Source organism: Homo sapiens, chromosome 4 (genome assembly GCF_000001405.40).
Source record: "Homo sapiens chromosome 4, GRCh38.p14 Primary Assembly".
Classification (NCBI taxonomy): domain Eukaryota; kingdom Metazoa; phylum Chordata; class Mammalia; order Primates; family Hominidae; genus Homo; species Homo sapiens.
In genome coordinates, this window is record NC_000004.12 from 99,436,457 (window position 1) to 99,453,022 (window position 16,566).

The 16,566-nt window shown below is 37.6% G+C and overlaps 1 annotated feature.

Annotated features, from left to right (window-relative positions):
• Positions 10,079-11,278: an enhancer, noted in NCBI's record as "MED14-independent group 3 enhancer chr4:100367692-100368891 (GRCh37/hg19 assembly coordinates)". NCBI's record gives its function as "activates an origin of replication core promoter dependent on BRD2, BRD4, P300/CBP and CDK7 cofactors, and independent of MED14, by STARR-seq in HCT116 cells {active_cell/tissue: HCT116}" and the evidence as "EXISTENCE:reporter gene assay evidence [ECO:0000049][PMID:35650434]".

The window sequence follows — 16,566 nt, forward strand, 5'->3', positions numbered from 1 at the left end:
CAATATAACATAGTAAATGTACATCCAATTTAACATATATTATGTCAAATTCAGAATTTGTAATTAGAATTTGTTACTACAACTCATTAACCAAATCAAATCCACCAGGAAAAACCATTGCCAGTTGATTTGGCTTGTGAGTAAGCACCATTGCTTTAGCAGTAGTGCTGAAGAACTCCAGTATGTTTGCTGGCACTATAAGACAAAGTTAAACAGGTGTGGACAAGGACAGGTATTCTTAGTCTCGACTTTCAAACAAAAACTTGTTTACTTATGAACAAAAGAAAATGAGTTCAAACATGGGTGGTGACAGCATAAATGCAAAAGCGCTGAATTGATAAACTCCCTCTTAAGGGCTTGGCAAAACTTTGTATCATATTAATCTAAAATTTTTTTACAAAAAATAATGTATCATGTGAGGCTTAATATCTGAATAAGTCTTATGGTCCTAATCCAGTCTCCATGAAACTTGATTGGATGATAAAGTGCCAAAAGCTGAATCTTGGAAGGTAATAAAAAAAATGGGTCAGTTTGGATATATAGCAGCTAAGTCTTAATTTTAGGTTTAGAGAATTTAACAGATGACTTCTTTCTTCTAAACACCATATTTCTATGAAATTCTGGGGCCAGAACCCTCAGGGTACTCAATCTCCTAGTTACTGTGAGCCTGGTCCTACTCCCAAAGTTTACAAAAGCCTTTAATGATTACCTCAAAGCACCCATGCAACTGTAATTTCCTCAGGTCAAGATACAGGGGAACTTAGAGGAACTTTGAAAAGTGTACTACAGGAATATGGGCTTTGGAATTAGAGTCACTTGGTTCAGGGCCTGGAGCCTTGCTTGAATATGTATGACTTCAGCTTCCATATTCATAAAATAAGACTAATGATAACCACATTGCATGGGTGTCCTGAGGACTGGTAGTGAGGGTCAGAAAGCACTGAAGTATACTGCCTGATTCATAATCAGTAGCAGATGTCATTATTATTAACTTGACTCCAGTTGGCTGCTTGGATTATTATTATTATTATGGATTGTTTGCTCAAATATTTAAATATGGAACCACATGAGACCAAATGTCCCGGAGTCCTGACTCAGTAAAGCTGTCTTGCAGCAATCGACTGTGAGGTCCTGGAAGCCGCCAGAATTTCCTAAGAGTTTGAGGACTAAGTCTTTTGAACCTGGAAGTGCTACCAGAAATTTAGATGAAACCTAAGAGGCAAAATATGATCCACACAGGTGTTGACCAGCCATTGGTGTGCACAGAATTGAGGGGGTTCCCAGGATGCAAGATTTTCAGTTCCCAAACCAGGAGAGTCCCAGGCAAATGGAGACTAGTCGGTTACCCTGTCCATACTCTGCAGCACCTGTGAGTGTGGGAGTCTGTAAGTGTGGGAGGCTTACAGGGTCATGTTATCAGCACTACTCTCCTACAGCCTTGCTCCTTCGCCCTTCGGTAACAGCTTTCTGTTATGGACCCTGTCCAGAAGTGTTCTCACTCCAGTCTCATAATGACAGCAGAGAAGTGAAAGAGTCACTACAGTCAAAAGAGCTAGGTATCTGCTCCATAGGGACTGGTAGGCACTTATGGCGAGAAAACTAAATGCTCCAACCTTCACAAAGGGAGAAAATAATACCCACTTCAGGACTTGCTGTAAAGCACAAGTGCGGAAGTGCTTATTAAACTGTCAAACACTCAGTAACTGAAAATTAAATAGGTATTTCCCTAAGGTTAAGAAGGGAAGAAAGGATCTGTTTATTGCTAAATCATTCTTAATAGCATAAATAGTTATGCAATTGTACTTACTGAGTGGGATATAACTAGACACCCTGTATTAGGGTGAATGCTGCTCATTTACACTCCACTTTAGTAAACTACAAACCTTGAGGGTGGGGTTTCATTCTTGCCATTGTCTCTAAAATTCTCTTTCTCCAACACTGCAAACTCAGGTGGTAAATCCTATGGCTAGATGCAAGCTGAAACTCATCCTTTCATACCATCAGCTCTGCCAAGCCAACTGGGAATGAGGCTGTGCCACGAGTAGGGCAGAGATCGGGCCTCTGCAGCTCTGCCCAGATTTGTCACGCTTTTGCTAATCCTTTTTCAGGCACACTGTGCCAGCTTTCAGAACTGCCATGGGAGATTGTGCCTAGTAGTTTCAGAAAATTTGCTTCTGCATGCACACCCTACTCAAGAAAAGAATCCAAAGCAGATTTTTCACAAGATGAGGGCTTCACATCTGCTTCCCATAAACTCTCCATTTCACTTAGCTCATGAAATCGGTGTGCTGGCTGATGAGAATTTCATTTCAAGGAGGTCAAGGATTGTGAAAAAAATAAACCCAAGTTTTTTTCTTTTTCCTACTCATTATCTCAAAAAAAAAAAAAAAAAAGCACAGGAGAATCAGTTTTGTGATGTATGCAACTAAGGATTTGTTGAAAATGACCCCAAGGCACTAAGGCCTAGCAGTTCTTTACAGAGACTGAGCCTAAAGGCTGTTTCTGGCAGGGAAGGACCGGCATCAAAACACAGCAATCAGAAAGGGAGCGTGCCTAAAAACTGGAAGATGGGAGGCACAACCTTGCGAAGAAGACAGACATGGCTCTGGGAGGTGTTCAGTATCTCATTAAGTCAAGTTAAAGTTTCTCTCTTTGCATCTGTTTCCGAAGGTCCCCTCAGGACTCATGTCACTAAAATATAGAGCAGGCTCCTGGAATGGTATGGTAGCAGCGGAAGTGGCCTTGGACCAATTCTTCATTGCAGAGCTTTGCACATACTTAGTACCTCACCTTACGCTGCAGCAGTGTGGTCAGGGGCAAGCCTGGAAGAAACCTCAGTGACTCCCCACCGCACCTCAACTCTTGAAGTTTTGCTTTAACCTGTTTCACATTTGCAAGCCTTTATTTGGAGAAAAGAGGTTCCTCATGGTTTTACCCCCTTGTATTTTCTAAAGCCTGGAAGTAGAAACATGAGAGAAACTCTTGAGACTAACTTGTTATATATATGGAGAAGAGAATTCCAAGCTTAAATAGGTTAACTTATGAAGGTTTTGAGCTGCTTATCATGAAAAGGTCACAACCATCTGCAAGTAACAATACAGACCAAACTCCTGCACTGTGGGAGAGGTTAGACTAACTTCAGTATTACCTAAGACATGAAACATAAGGACTGATAATTGGAAATGCAAGGGATAGTGAAGAGCACTCATCTAGGCTGCAGCCAACAGAGGTCATTGTGACTTCCTTCATTCACCCCAGTGAGCTGCTAGATCCATTCTGGCTGCTAGAGATCAGAAGCCAGAATGGATCCAAACATGGATCAACATGTCCCAGGAGGTGAACTGGAAAGTCCTTGGAGGTCTAAGTCTCCAAATACAATTATATCACATGAACCTTGAAATGTAGGAGTATTTGCAAGGATGGGCGAGGAAGGTGAAAGAGAGGAAGAGGAGGCAAAAACAACAATTTGCTAATAGGTTGGTGCAAAAGTAATCCATTACTTTTAATATAAAAACTGCAATTACTTTTGCAACAACCTAATACAATATTATAAATGTGATAAAAACCACAACTCTCATTAACTTCTTAACTGTTTTCTTTCATCTTATTGAACTGGTGAAAGCTTCACTGCTGTCTGGACCTTCCGAGAACAAAAGGAATACTGCTCTTACAGTGAACCGGGTATTTCTGCTTTTGTTCTCCACCCAGGTGCCCCATGAGTTTTAGATTGTTTTTAAGGTGGTTAAGGGCAGATCCAGGATGATATTGAATCCCATCTCCCTGGGATTCCTATAGTATGATGAGGTTATCTTGGGTCTAAAAAATTCTCAGCTATGTAAGTTTGAGAGCCTGATTTTGATTAGATTCTGAGGTTGATTAGATTCTGGAATCTGATTCACATTAATCATGTACATGAAAAATTGATAAACAAGGTACCAATTTGTTAATATATACTGCCTGGCACTATAACTTTGAACAGATTCCGCATAAGAAACACGATTGGTAGATGTAATATTCAAAATATTCAAAATATTTATCAACCTAAAATACATGGCACTGATCAATCAGTGCATCCACAGCTTAATTTAATAGATGCCAGCTGACTTGCCATTTCCAGGCATATCGGATAGATGTCAGCCCTGGGAATGAGTGAGGGTTAATATTTGAGTAATCCGACTACCTGCCAGACACTAATATATAATCAATTTTTGTGGGTTATTTTATTGAAAACTCACAATGATCCTTTGAGGAATGCATTTAAGAAACAAGGGCTCAGAGATTTTAGATAACTTCCTCTTGGTCCCACAGGTAATAAAATGTAGTTTGAGGAAGGCATTTCATAAACTGGACTCTCCCTGCTTGCAGATGAAATGATCCTATATCTAGGAAACCCCATCACTTTAGTCCAAAAGCTTTGTAAGCTGATAAGCAACTTCAGTAAAGGCTTAAGATACAAAATTAATGCACAAAAATTGCTAGCAACTGTACATCAACAACAGTCAAGATGAGATGAGAGCGAAGTCACAAATGAGCTCCCATTCACAATTGCCACAAAAAGGAATACAGCTAACAAGGGAGATGAAAGATCTCTCTAAGAAGAACTAAAAACCCCTGCTCAAAGAAATCATAGATGACATAAATGAATGGAAAAATATTCCGTGTTCATGGATAGGAAAAATCCATATCATTAAAATTGCCATAGTGCCCAAAGCAATTTATACATTCAATGCTATTCCCATTAAACTACCAACGACGTTCTTCACAGAACTAGAGAAAACTATTTTAAAATTCATATTGAACCAAAAAAGAGCCCAAATAACCAAGGCAACTCTAAGCAAAAAGAACAAAGCTAGAGGCATCCTGCTACTCAATTTCAAACTATACTACAGGGCCACAGTAACCAAAAAAGCATGATATTGGTACAAAAACAGACACATGGACCACTGGAACAGAACAGAGAACCCAGAAATAAGACTACACACCTACAATTATCTGATCTTCAACAAACCTGACAAAAACAAGCAATAGGGAAAGAATTCCCTATTCAATAAATGGTTCTGGAATAACAGGCTAGCCATATGCAGAAAATTAAAACTAGGCCCCTTCCTTAAGCCAAGTACAAAAATTAACTCAAGGTGGATTAAAGACTTAAATGTAAAACCCAAGACAATAAAAACTCTGGAAGACAATCTAGGCCATATCATTCAGGACATAGGCACCGGCAAAGATTTCATGAGGAAGATGCAAAAAGCAATTGCAACAAAAGCAAAAATTGACAAATGGTATCTAATTAAACTCAAGAGCTTCTGCACGGCAAAAGAAACTACCAACAGAGTACACAGACAACCTATAGAATGGGAGAAAAGTTTTGCAAACTATGCATCTGACAAAAAATCTAATATACAGCATTATAAGAAACTTAAAGTTACAAGGAAAAAACACCATTAAAAGGTGGGCAAAGAATATGAACAGACATTTGTCAAAAGAAGACATACATGTGGCCAACAATCATATGAAAAAAAGCTCAACATCACTGATCATTAGAGAAATGAAAATCAAAACCACAATGAGATACCATCTCACACCAGTCAGACTAGCCATTTTAAAAAGTCAAAAAATAACAGATGCTGGCGAGGTTCTGGAGAAAAAGGAATGCTTATACACTGTTGGTGGGAGTGTAAATTAGTTCAGCCATTGTAGAAAAGAGTGTGGTGATTCCTCAAAGACCTAAAGACATAACTGCCATTCGACCCAGCAATCACATTACTGAGTATATATCCAAAGGAATATAAATTGTTCTATTATAAAGACACATGCACATGTATGTTTATTGTAGCACCATTCACAATAGCACAGACATGGAATCAACCTAAATGCCCATCAATGGTAGACTGGATAAAGAAAATGTGGTACATATTCACCACGGAAAAGTAGGCAGCCATTATAATGAATGAGGTTATATTCTTTGCTCTGACATGGATAGATCTGGAGGCTGTTATCCTTAGCAAACTAATGCAGGAACAGAAAACCAAATGCCACATGTTCTCATTTATAAGTAGGAGCTAAATGATGAGAACACATGGACATGCAGAGGGGAAGAACACACATTGGGGCTTATAAGAGGGTACAGGGTGGAAGGAGGCAGGGTATCAGGAAAAATAACTAATGGGTACTAGGCTTAAAAACTCAGTGATGAAATAATCTGCACAACAACACCCCATGACATGTGTTTACCTATGTAACCTGCACATGTACCCCCGAACTTAAAAGTTTTTTAAAAAAGAAACTGGACTCAGAGATTTTAGATAACTGGCCCATATTCCCACAGGTAGTAAAATGAAGTCTGGTTTTACACACAGGTCCATGTGTACCATACTGTAAAATGTATCCCCTTCTGGTAAATTCACACAAGAAACAAATTTAGATCAAATGGTCAACTAATGCTGATATCAGAGCAAAGAATGTCATTTTGTCTTAAAGAAATTCCTTGAGTTTTTTTTTTTTTAATGAATGCCAGGGCTATCTCTAAAAAATAAAAGCTAGAATTTTATTTATGTAATTAAGCTGGTCAGGGCTAGAATGTCTAAGCTGTCTGTACCTTCAAGGTTATTACTCTTTATGTAGATCTGGCTGTTTGTCAGTAATTGACAGAAATGAAGCTTAAATAACAAGGCCTGTTATTCTGGAGGAATGTTTTTCAACTTCACTGCACATTAGAAAGAATTGAGAAGCTGTTAAAAAAACACAATACCAGAACAACATCCACATGATTCCCCTTTCAATAAACACAAGTTTGGGGACATCTTCCCAAGTGACCCAGTGTGAAGCCTATCTGGGACCACTATTCTTCCATACTAGCAGTGCCACCCAAAGCGTGATCCCTCTGATTATTATTATTATTATTATTATTAGCATGAACCCTCCTCAGTCCATGAGAAGACGGACCTCAAAACTAAGAGTGTTTAGAAACTTCTATAGAAACTGACAAATTAAGTTTATATCTGTTAAATATAATCAAAAAATATGGATTAGTATTTTGCTTCTCATTATTTTTCTAGTAATCCATTTTTATTATATTTTATAAAAGGATCAGTCCATGATGGACTGGAGAAGGAATAGAAAGGGTCTTCATCACAGATAGTTTAAGAAACACAGCCCAAAACCATGTATTAGATCACCCTAGTTCATTCCAAAGACTATGCTTTGTGAGATATGCCCCTGTACTTTCTGTCCTTCCAAGACTGGCACTGCATCCTTCATCACTTTTTGTGTCATTACCGAGGTAAAGCATAGCATCCTCAAAGGGTTGGCTTGTCTTTGCCAGTTTTCTCTCAGATAACATAGGTATGCTCTCTCACTCCTTCTATAATTTGCCTGGAAAAAATGGAAATGTATGAGTGTAAAATGTGCATTTATTCTCAGTGATAAAAGCAAAAGGAAGAGCCCAATTGAACCTTAAGGAGCAGGTGCCTGTCTGATATGAAATCTGAGGTTCCTCAGCTAAACACACCTCTGCAGGAAAGAGCCCCGGACATTGTTAAAGAACTATGGTCAGACAACACTGTGGCCTTGTATTTTTTTTTTTCTTGTCCTAGGAATGAAGTTTTGTGACAAGATTGAGTCTTATGGCAGTGCTGACTGAGGACGAGACCAGGAATTATATAACTATGAGGATGCTGGTGGCTAAATTGAGGTCAGAGCTATAATTGTGTAAGAGAGGTCTAAACTGACAAGAAGCTATGGTTTGTCCTGGATTTCTTCAAAACGAAGAACTTGTAATTTTAAAATAAAAAGGTTTAACTCTGCCTAAACTATGGGGAATTAATTGAATTAATTAAAAATCAATGCATAGTCTGGTAAAGAGTTTTGGCATTGATGTTGTTGATGTCACTTCCATATTTGAGACTTGGTGTTGGAAATGTAACTTGGACACTGAAATGGAAGAATTTCTGAAATATTTCAGTGCTTTATAGAAAAAGTAGAACAGGATATTTTATATCAAAAGATGCTTGAAAGTCAGAGACCTGGCCAAATTTTTGCCATTGTGTAAGGAGAGTAGGTAACCTCCTTCTATCTGAAATTATGGCCCGTAATTTGTTAGAAATTACCTTGGTTAAATTATGGTCTATATCTTTCTCTTTTTAACTGAATGTTCCTTCAATTAATCATAGCAAATGTTTATTAGATCACTAAATAATTATCTCATTTGATTATAAAACTCTTACAAAGCAGATGATATTGTTCATTTTAGAGAAAGAGACTGAGGCACAATTTAAAATAAATCTCAAGGTAATCTCAAAGGGGAAATGATATGCTACATGGGTGATAGGAAACCTATTGGTGGATTGTGGAAAATATTTATAAAATAGTTGAACAAAGGGTATAAATAAGTAGGAAAAGGCAAAAAAAAGAGGAAAGGAAATGAGCTGGAAGCCAGCAAGTGGTCTGAGTCCTAACACCAAGTTCTAAGTTGGGCCATCATCATTTAATCAAGGAATGGGCTATCCCTTGATTGTAAGTATTAGTTTTAAATACTTAAAATTTTAATTATTTAAAAGTAAATTGTAAGTATTAGATTTAAATACTTACAATTCTAAGTATTTAAAAGTTCTGCCTGGTAGAACTTTCATTTACTAAGTAGTTTACATTTAGGTATCAGTATAGTCAGTATTATCAGCCTGAAGCCCCCTAAATGGGAGTTTCTGTGTCCCTACACCCATGGAGCTGAGGGCAGTGTCTTGCTCACAGAATCTCAGCGTCAAAAGGAAAGAAAGGGCTCCCAAATTTAAACTCAGGCATAGTCAGGCTAGTGTGGGTTTAGCAAACTCTTGGACAAACCATTGAGGTTATTATTCATAATTCAACCTCTTTTTTTTTTTTTGATCTGCTGGATCCTCAAAGAGCCAGCTACCCACTTTCCTCCATTGCTGTCATCACCTGGGCCCCTGTAGAAACAAATTTGCAGTCAGGTGCTATAAAAAGAATTTAGCTTTAAGGGAAAACAGATCAGGATTTTCATTTCAGATGTACCGGCTATAACACTTCAGACAAATGACTTAACTTCTTGTACCCACGTTTTTTCTCATCTGCCAAATGGAGAAGACAATGTATTTTTTATAAGAAGACCACATTGAAGTGTTTAAAAGTTTCATCTCTGGACTCTGACATCCATTTAAGAATATTGTTACCTTTGATAAACTAATTTCTGCAAGTCTTAATTTCTTCACCTGTAAAATGAGGATAATACCAATTTAGTACTTCTTTCACAAAACTGTTGTAAAGATTTAATGAGATACCATTTATGAAATGCTTGAAATATTCCCTAAAAAACTGTTTATGATCAACAAGTGTTAGCTTTTATTATCATTACTGAAGATCAGTGATAAGCCTGCCCACTGCAAGGTAACTACCCTTATTGGGATACCACGAGACAAGCTTTGAATAATTTATATGCACATTATTTTCTCCGAGCTGCCACTCTTAAATGTGCATTCAAATGATGAAAGCCTAGCTTTCTAGTTCTTTTCTCTTTAGATAAATGAGCTTGCACATATATATGTAGGCATAGGGTGTGGGCAAAATCTCAAGAAAGCTTGAATGATACCTTGTGCTCCTGTAAGACCCAGCTGGGAAGAAAGGAGGTGTATTGGATTGAATAGTGTTCCTCCAAAATTCACGTATGCCAGAACCTCAGAATGTGGCCTTATTTGAGAATAGGGTCCTTGCAGATGTAATGTAAGTAGTTAAGATGAGGTCATATTGAATTAGAGTGAGCTCTAAATTCAAAGATTAGTGTCCTTATATGAAGGCTAGGTGAAGATGCAAAGAGACACACAGAGGAGAACAGCATGTGACCACAGAGGCAGAGATTGGAGTGATACATCCACAAGCCAAAGGATGCCAAAGATTGCTGGGAACTACCAGAAGCTAGGGGAAAGGCATGGAACAGATTCTGCTTCAGAGACTCTAGGAGTATCCAATCCTGATGATACTTTGATTTTGGACTTCTGGTGTTCAGAAACTATGAGAGAACAAATTTCTGTTGTTTTAAGCTACCAAGTTTGTGTACCTTGTTATGGCAGCTCTATGAAATGAACACAAAAGCGGTCTCTAACCAAAAGGAATATTATAGGATCTCTCCTCTCCAGGCAGGGTCAACAAGGAGAAGTGAAGAAAGCGTGTGTATAGGAGTACCAAATGTATCCAGAAAAACACAGGACATCAGAAAGTGGGTCCTGGAAGACACTGTAAGGGCAGGTACACATTCTGTTACATCAGTGGCTCATTGGGCAACTGAGGGTAGTTCTGTAACATCCCAAGTGGGGGGCCAGACATGAAGAGGCAGGGAAACATAATCATATTGAAAGGAACAAAATTTTTAGACATGGGGCTGCTCAAGTACTGCAAGGGTGACTCTCCATGTAGATTCAGAGTCTGGGCACTCCAGTCAACACTAACTGATAAATCCTTTTAAGCATATAGCAAAAAGATGACCACCTTCTTATACTTCAAAGACAACACTGATACCTAAATGTAAACTACTTAGTAAATGAAAGTTCTACCAGCCAGTTTTAAATCAAATGCTTACAATTTTAATCAAAGGATAGCCCATTAACCAAACAATTGTTTTTATGAAGTGTGTTTTTTTTTTGTTTTGTTTGTTTTAAATGTCTAGGAGACACCTTACCAAGACCTCATTTATTTTAACACTTCCTGGGAGACCTTTATTGTCAAACTCGACCAGATTTATTCAACAAACAGCAATTCGAGAAAGCAGTGGAAAAGAGCTGAGTCACAGTGAAAGTGACATTTCCCTTTGCAGCTGAAGAAACCACCGGCTGTGATTAACTGCTTGACTAGTCCTCCAGTGTGAAGGATCACAATGGGATCAAGAAGGCTTGGCTGGGCTATGAGAAAGAAAAGAACTGAATCAAATTGGAGCCTGGGAAACTCAGTTCACAGGATCCCCTAAAAGTTACAAATGTCACAAGTGTGAGTGACCATTCATTTACTTAATCAGGCAATAAATCTTTTATTCATTCAATGAGATTTTTTATTAGTTTCTACTGTGGGCCTAGGTGCCGGGATATTGGTGGTGGGGTCAGATACTAAAATGATTCTGAGACAGTTTCTGTTCCAATAGGCTTAGAATATAATAGATTCTCAACAATCTTTTTTTTCAATAGTCTTTCATCCCCAAATAATTCTGTCTTTAAAAGAGAAGAGCCACCTGAGGAGTGACTGGAGAGCTGTCCATTCAAACTTCCCTTATTGCTGAAATGTTGCTAAACAGAGTTTGACATTGACTCTTAGCTGCCAATCACTCTCTCCAGTGTGGGACAGACCAGCAACTCAGTGCAGGTTCATTTGGGTACTGAAGGACAATCAAAACCTAACTACAGGATGATTGATCTGTGATACCTTCCGAGAACAATCGTAATCAAAAAGAGAAATATGAAAGTGGTCGGAATCAAAATGGAGTCATGTATGTTTAAAACAAACAAACAAACAAACAAATACAAAAAACCCTGACAAATAGAGCTGGGGAGGGCTATGAAGAGAGGCTTCTCACACTTATATGCCAGATAATAAAAACTTCCACAAAAGACTCTACAGAAGCCACAACAATGCACAAAGGTCATCACAACCTTACACAAAAAATACTTCTGTGAGGATATCTGCCCAGCAACTAACTGCCTGTCCAAACTCAGACTGGCACCACCTTTGTTCCTTTGTTATTAATCTTTGTAGTGAAAGATAATTATCTCAAAACAATTATACAATTCTGCTCATTATTTTTAACTTTTATTTTAGGTTCAGGGGTACATGTGAAGGTTTGTTACATAGGTAAACTCATTTCATGGAGGTTTGTTGTACAGATTATTTCATCACCTGGGAATTAAGCCAGTACTCAATAGTTATCTTTGCTGCTCTTCTCCCTCCTCTCAACCTTCACCCTCAAGAAGAGCCCAGTGTCTGTTGTTTCCTTCTTTGTGTTCATACTCATCATTTACCTCCCACTTATAAATGAGAACATGCTGTAGTTGGTTTTCTGTTCCTGTGTTAGTTTGCTGAGGATAATAGCCTCCAGCCCCATCCATGTTCCTGCAAAAGACTGATCTCATTCCTTTTTTATGGCTGCATAGTATTCCATGGTGTATATATACCACATTTTCTTTTTCCAGTCTACCACTGATGGGCATTTAGGTTGATTCCATGTCTTTGCTATTGTGAAATGTGCTGCAATGAACATGTGTGTGCATGTGTCTCTATAATAAAACAATTTATATTGCTTTGGGTATATACCCAGTAATGGGATTGCAGGATAAAATGGTAGTTCTGACTTTAGGTTTTTGAGGAATCATCACACTGTCTTCTACAATGGTTGAACTAATTTACACTCCCACCAACAGTGTATAAGCATTCCCTTTTCTCCACAGCCTCACCAGCATCTGTTATTTTTTTTACTTTTTAATAGTAACCATTCTGACTGCTATGAGATTGTATCTCATTGTGGTTTCAAAATGCATTTTTCTAATGATCAGTGATGTTGAGCTCTTTTTCATATGACTGTTGGCCACGTGTATGTCTTCTTTTGAGAAGTGTCTGTTCATGCCTTTTGCCCACTTTTTAATGGGACTGTTTGTTTTTATCTTGTAAATTTGTTTAAGTTTCTTATGGACACTGGATATTAGATCTTTGTCAGATGCATAGTTTGTAACTATTTTCTCTTATTCTACAGGTTGTTTGTGTACTCTGTTGATAGTTTCTTTTGCTGTGCTGAAGCTCCTGTGTTTAATTAGATTCCATTTGTCAGTTTTTGCTTTTGTTGCAATTGCTTTTGGTGTCTTTGTCATAAAATCTTTGCCCGTTCCTATGTCCAGGATGGTATTGCCTAGGTTGTCTTCCAGAGCTTTTATAGTTTTGAGTTTTACATTTAAGTCTTTAATTCATCTTGAGTTAATTTTTGTATATGGTGTAAGGAAGGGGTCTAGTTTTAATTTTCTTCATATGGCTAGCCAGTTATCCCAGTACCATTTATTGAATAGGGAGCCTTTTCTCCATTGCTTGTTTTTTTTGAGAATCAGGTGGTTGTAGATGTACAGCCTTATTTCTGGGTTCTCTATTCTGTTCCATTGGTCTATGTGCCAGTTTTTGTACCAATACCATGCTATTTTGGTTACTGTAGCCGTGTAGTATAGTTTGAAGTTGGGTGACATGATTCCTCCAGCTTTGTTTTTGTTTTGTTTTGTTTCCCTTAGGATCATGTTGGCTATTCAGGTTGTTTTTTGGTTCCACGTAAATTAAAAAATTTTTTTTCTAGTTGAAGAATGTCATTTGTAGATTGATAAGAATAGCGTTGAATCTGTAAATTGCTTTGGACAGTATGGCCATTTTAATGATGTTAATTTTTCCTATCCATGAATATGGCATGTTTTTTCCATTTGTTTGTGTTATCTCCGATTTCTTTGAGCAGTGTTTTGTAATTCTCATTGTGGACATCTTTCATCTCCCTGGTTAGCTGTATTCCTATGTATTCTATTCTTTTTGTGGTGATTGTGAATGAGATTGCCTTTCTGATTTCACTCTTGGCTTGGCTATTGTTGGTATATAAGAATGCTAGTGATTTTTGCACATTAATTTTTTATCCTGTGACTTTGCTGAAGTTGTTTATCAGCTGAAGGAGCTTTTGGGCTGAGACTATGGGATTTTCTAGATATAGAATTATGTCATCTGTAAACAGATAGTTTGACTTCCTCTCTTCCTATTTGGATGCCTTTTATTTCTTTTCTTGCCTGATTACCGTGGCTAGGACTTCCAGTACTATGTTGAATAGGAGTGGTGAGAGAGGGCATCCTTGTCTTGTGCTGGTGTTCAAGGGGAATGGTTCCAGCTATTGCCTATTTGGTATAATGTTAGGTATGGGTTTGTCATGAATGGTTTTTATTATTTTGAAGTATGTTCCTTCAATACCTAGTTTATTGAGAGTTTTAACGTGAAGGGGTGTTGAATTTTATCAAAAGCCTTTTCTGCATCTACTGAGATAATAATGTGTTTTTTTCTTTAGTTCTGTTTATGTGATGAATCATATTTATTGATTTGCTTATGTTGAACCAACCTTGGGTATCCCAGGGATTAAGCCTACTTGATCATGGTCGATTAGCTTTTTGATGTGCTGCTGGATTCGATTTGCAAGTATTTTATTGAGGATTTTTGCATTGATATTAATCAAGGATATTGGCCTGAAGTTTTCTTTTCTTGTGTCTTATGACAGTATTTTGGTATCAGGATAACGCTGGCCTCATAGAATTAGTTGGGGAGGAGTCCTGTCTCCTCAATTTTTTGGAATAGCTTTTGTAAGAATGATAATAGTTCTTCTTTGTACATCTGGTAGAATTTGTGAATGCATCAGGTCCTAGGCTTTATTTTGATTAGTCAGATATTTATTACTAATTCAATTTTAGAACTCGTTGTGGTCTGTTTAGGAAATCAATTTCTTCCTGGTTCAGTCTTGGGAGAGTGTATGTGTCCAGGAATTTATCAATCTCTTCTAGGTTTTCTAGTTTGTGCATATAGAGGAGTTTGTAGTAGTTTCTGATGGTTATTTATATTCCCATGGGGTCAGCAGTAACATTCCCTTCATCGTTTCAAATTGTGTTTATTTGAATCTTTTCTCTTTTCTTTATTAGTCTAGCTAGTGGCCTAGCTTATTAATTGTTTCAAAAAACAAACTCTTAAATTCATTGATCTTTTAAATGGCTTTTCATGTCTCATTTTCCTTCAGTTCAGGTTTGATTTTGGTTATTTCTTGTCTTCTGCTAGTTTTGGGGCTGATTTTTTCTTGCTTCTCTAATTTTTTTCAGTTGTGATGTTAGGTTGTTAACTTGAGATCTTTCTGACTGTTTTACATGGGCATTTAGTGCAATGAATTTCCCTTTGAACACTGCCTTACTTGTCTCAGAGATTCTGGAATATGATATCTTTGTTCTCTTTAGTTTCAAAAGCTTATTGATTTCTGCCTAAGTTTCATTATTTACCCAAAAGTAGTTCAGAAGCATGTTGTTTAATTTCCATGTAATTCATGGTTTTGAATTATTTTCTTAGTCTTGACTTCTGTTTTTATTGCACTGTGGTCTGAGAGTGTGTTTGGTATGATTTGGATTTTTTTGCATTTGCTAAGGATTGTTCTGTGTCCAATTACATGGTCGATTTTAGGGTATGTGCCATGTAGCAAAGAGAAGAATGTATACTCTGTTGTTTTGGTGTGGAGAGTTCTGTAGAAGTGTATCAGATCCATTTGGTCCAATGTTTAGTTCAGGTCCTGAATATCTCTGTTAATTTTCTGCCTCAAAGTTATGTCTAATATTGTCAGTGGAGTGTTGAAATCTCCCACTACTATTGTATGGGAGTCTGTGTCTTGTCGTAGGTCTCTAAGAACTTGCTTCATGAATCTGAGTGCTCCTGTGTTTGATGCATATCTATTTAGGGTAGTTAAGTCTTCTTGTTGAATTGAACCCTTTATCATTATGCAATGCCCTTGTCTTTTTTTTTAGCTTTTTTGGTTTGAAGTCTCTTTTGTCTGAAACTAGGATTGCAACCCCTGCTTTTTTCTGTTTTCCATTTGTTTGGTAGATTTTTCTCCATCCCTTTATTTTGAGCCTATGGGTGTCATTTTGTGTGAGATGAGTCTCTTGAAGACAGCATGCCACTAGGTCTTGCTATTTTATCCAACTTGCCACTCTATGCCTTTTAAGTAGGGCATTTAGCCTGTTTACATTCAAGGTTAGTATTGATATGTGTGGATTGGATCATGTCATTGTGTTGTTAGCTGGTTACTATGTTGCCTTGTTTGTGTGGTTGCTTAATAGTGATAGTGGTTTGTGTGTTTAAGTGTGTTTTTGTATTAGCTGATAGCAGACTTTTCTTTCCATATTTAGTGCACCTTTCAAGATCTCTCATAAGGCAGGTCTGGTGGTAACAAACTCCCTCAACATTTGCTTATTTGCAAAGGATCTTATTCCTCCTTCACTTAGGAAGCTTAGTTTGGCTGGATATAAAAATTCTTGGTTAAAGATTTTTTTTCCTTAAGAATGTTGAATCTAAGCCTCTAATCTCTTCTGGCTTGTAGGGTTTCAGTTGAGAAGTCTGCTGTTAGCCTAATGGTGTTCCCTTTGTAGGTGAGCTGCCCTTTTTCTCTACCTGTCTTTAACATTATTTCTTTTATTTCAGTCTTGGGAAAGCTGATGATTATGTGTCTTGGGGGTGATCTTCCTGTGTAGAATGTTGCACTTCTCTGCATTTCTTGAATTTGACTCTTGGCCTCTCTAGCAAGGTTTGGGAAGCTTTCAGGGACAATGTCCTGAGATAGGTTTTCCAAGTTGTTTCCTTTCTCCCCTTCCCTTTCAGTGATACCAGTGATTAGTGGATTTGGCCTCTTTACATAATCCCAGAGTTCTGAGAGGTTTCGTTCATTCCTTTTTATTCTTTTTTCTTTATTTTCATGTGAGATTCTGAGATTCTTTCCTAAGCTTGATTTATTCTGCATTAATACTTGTGATTGCATTG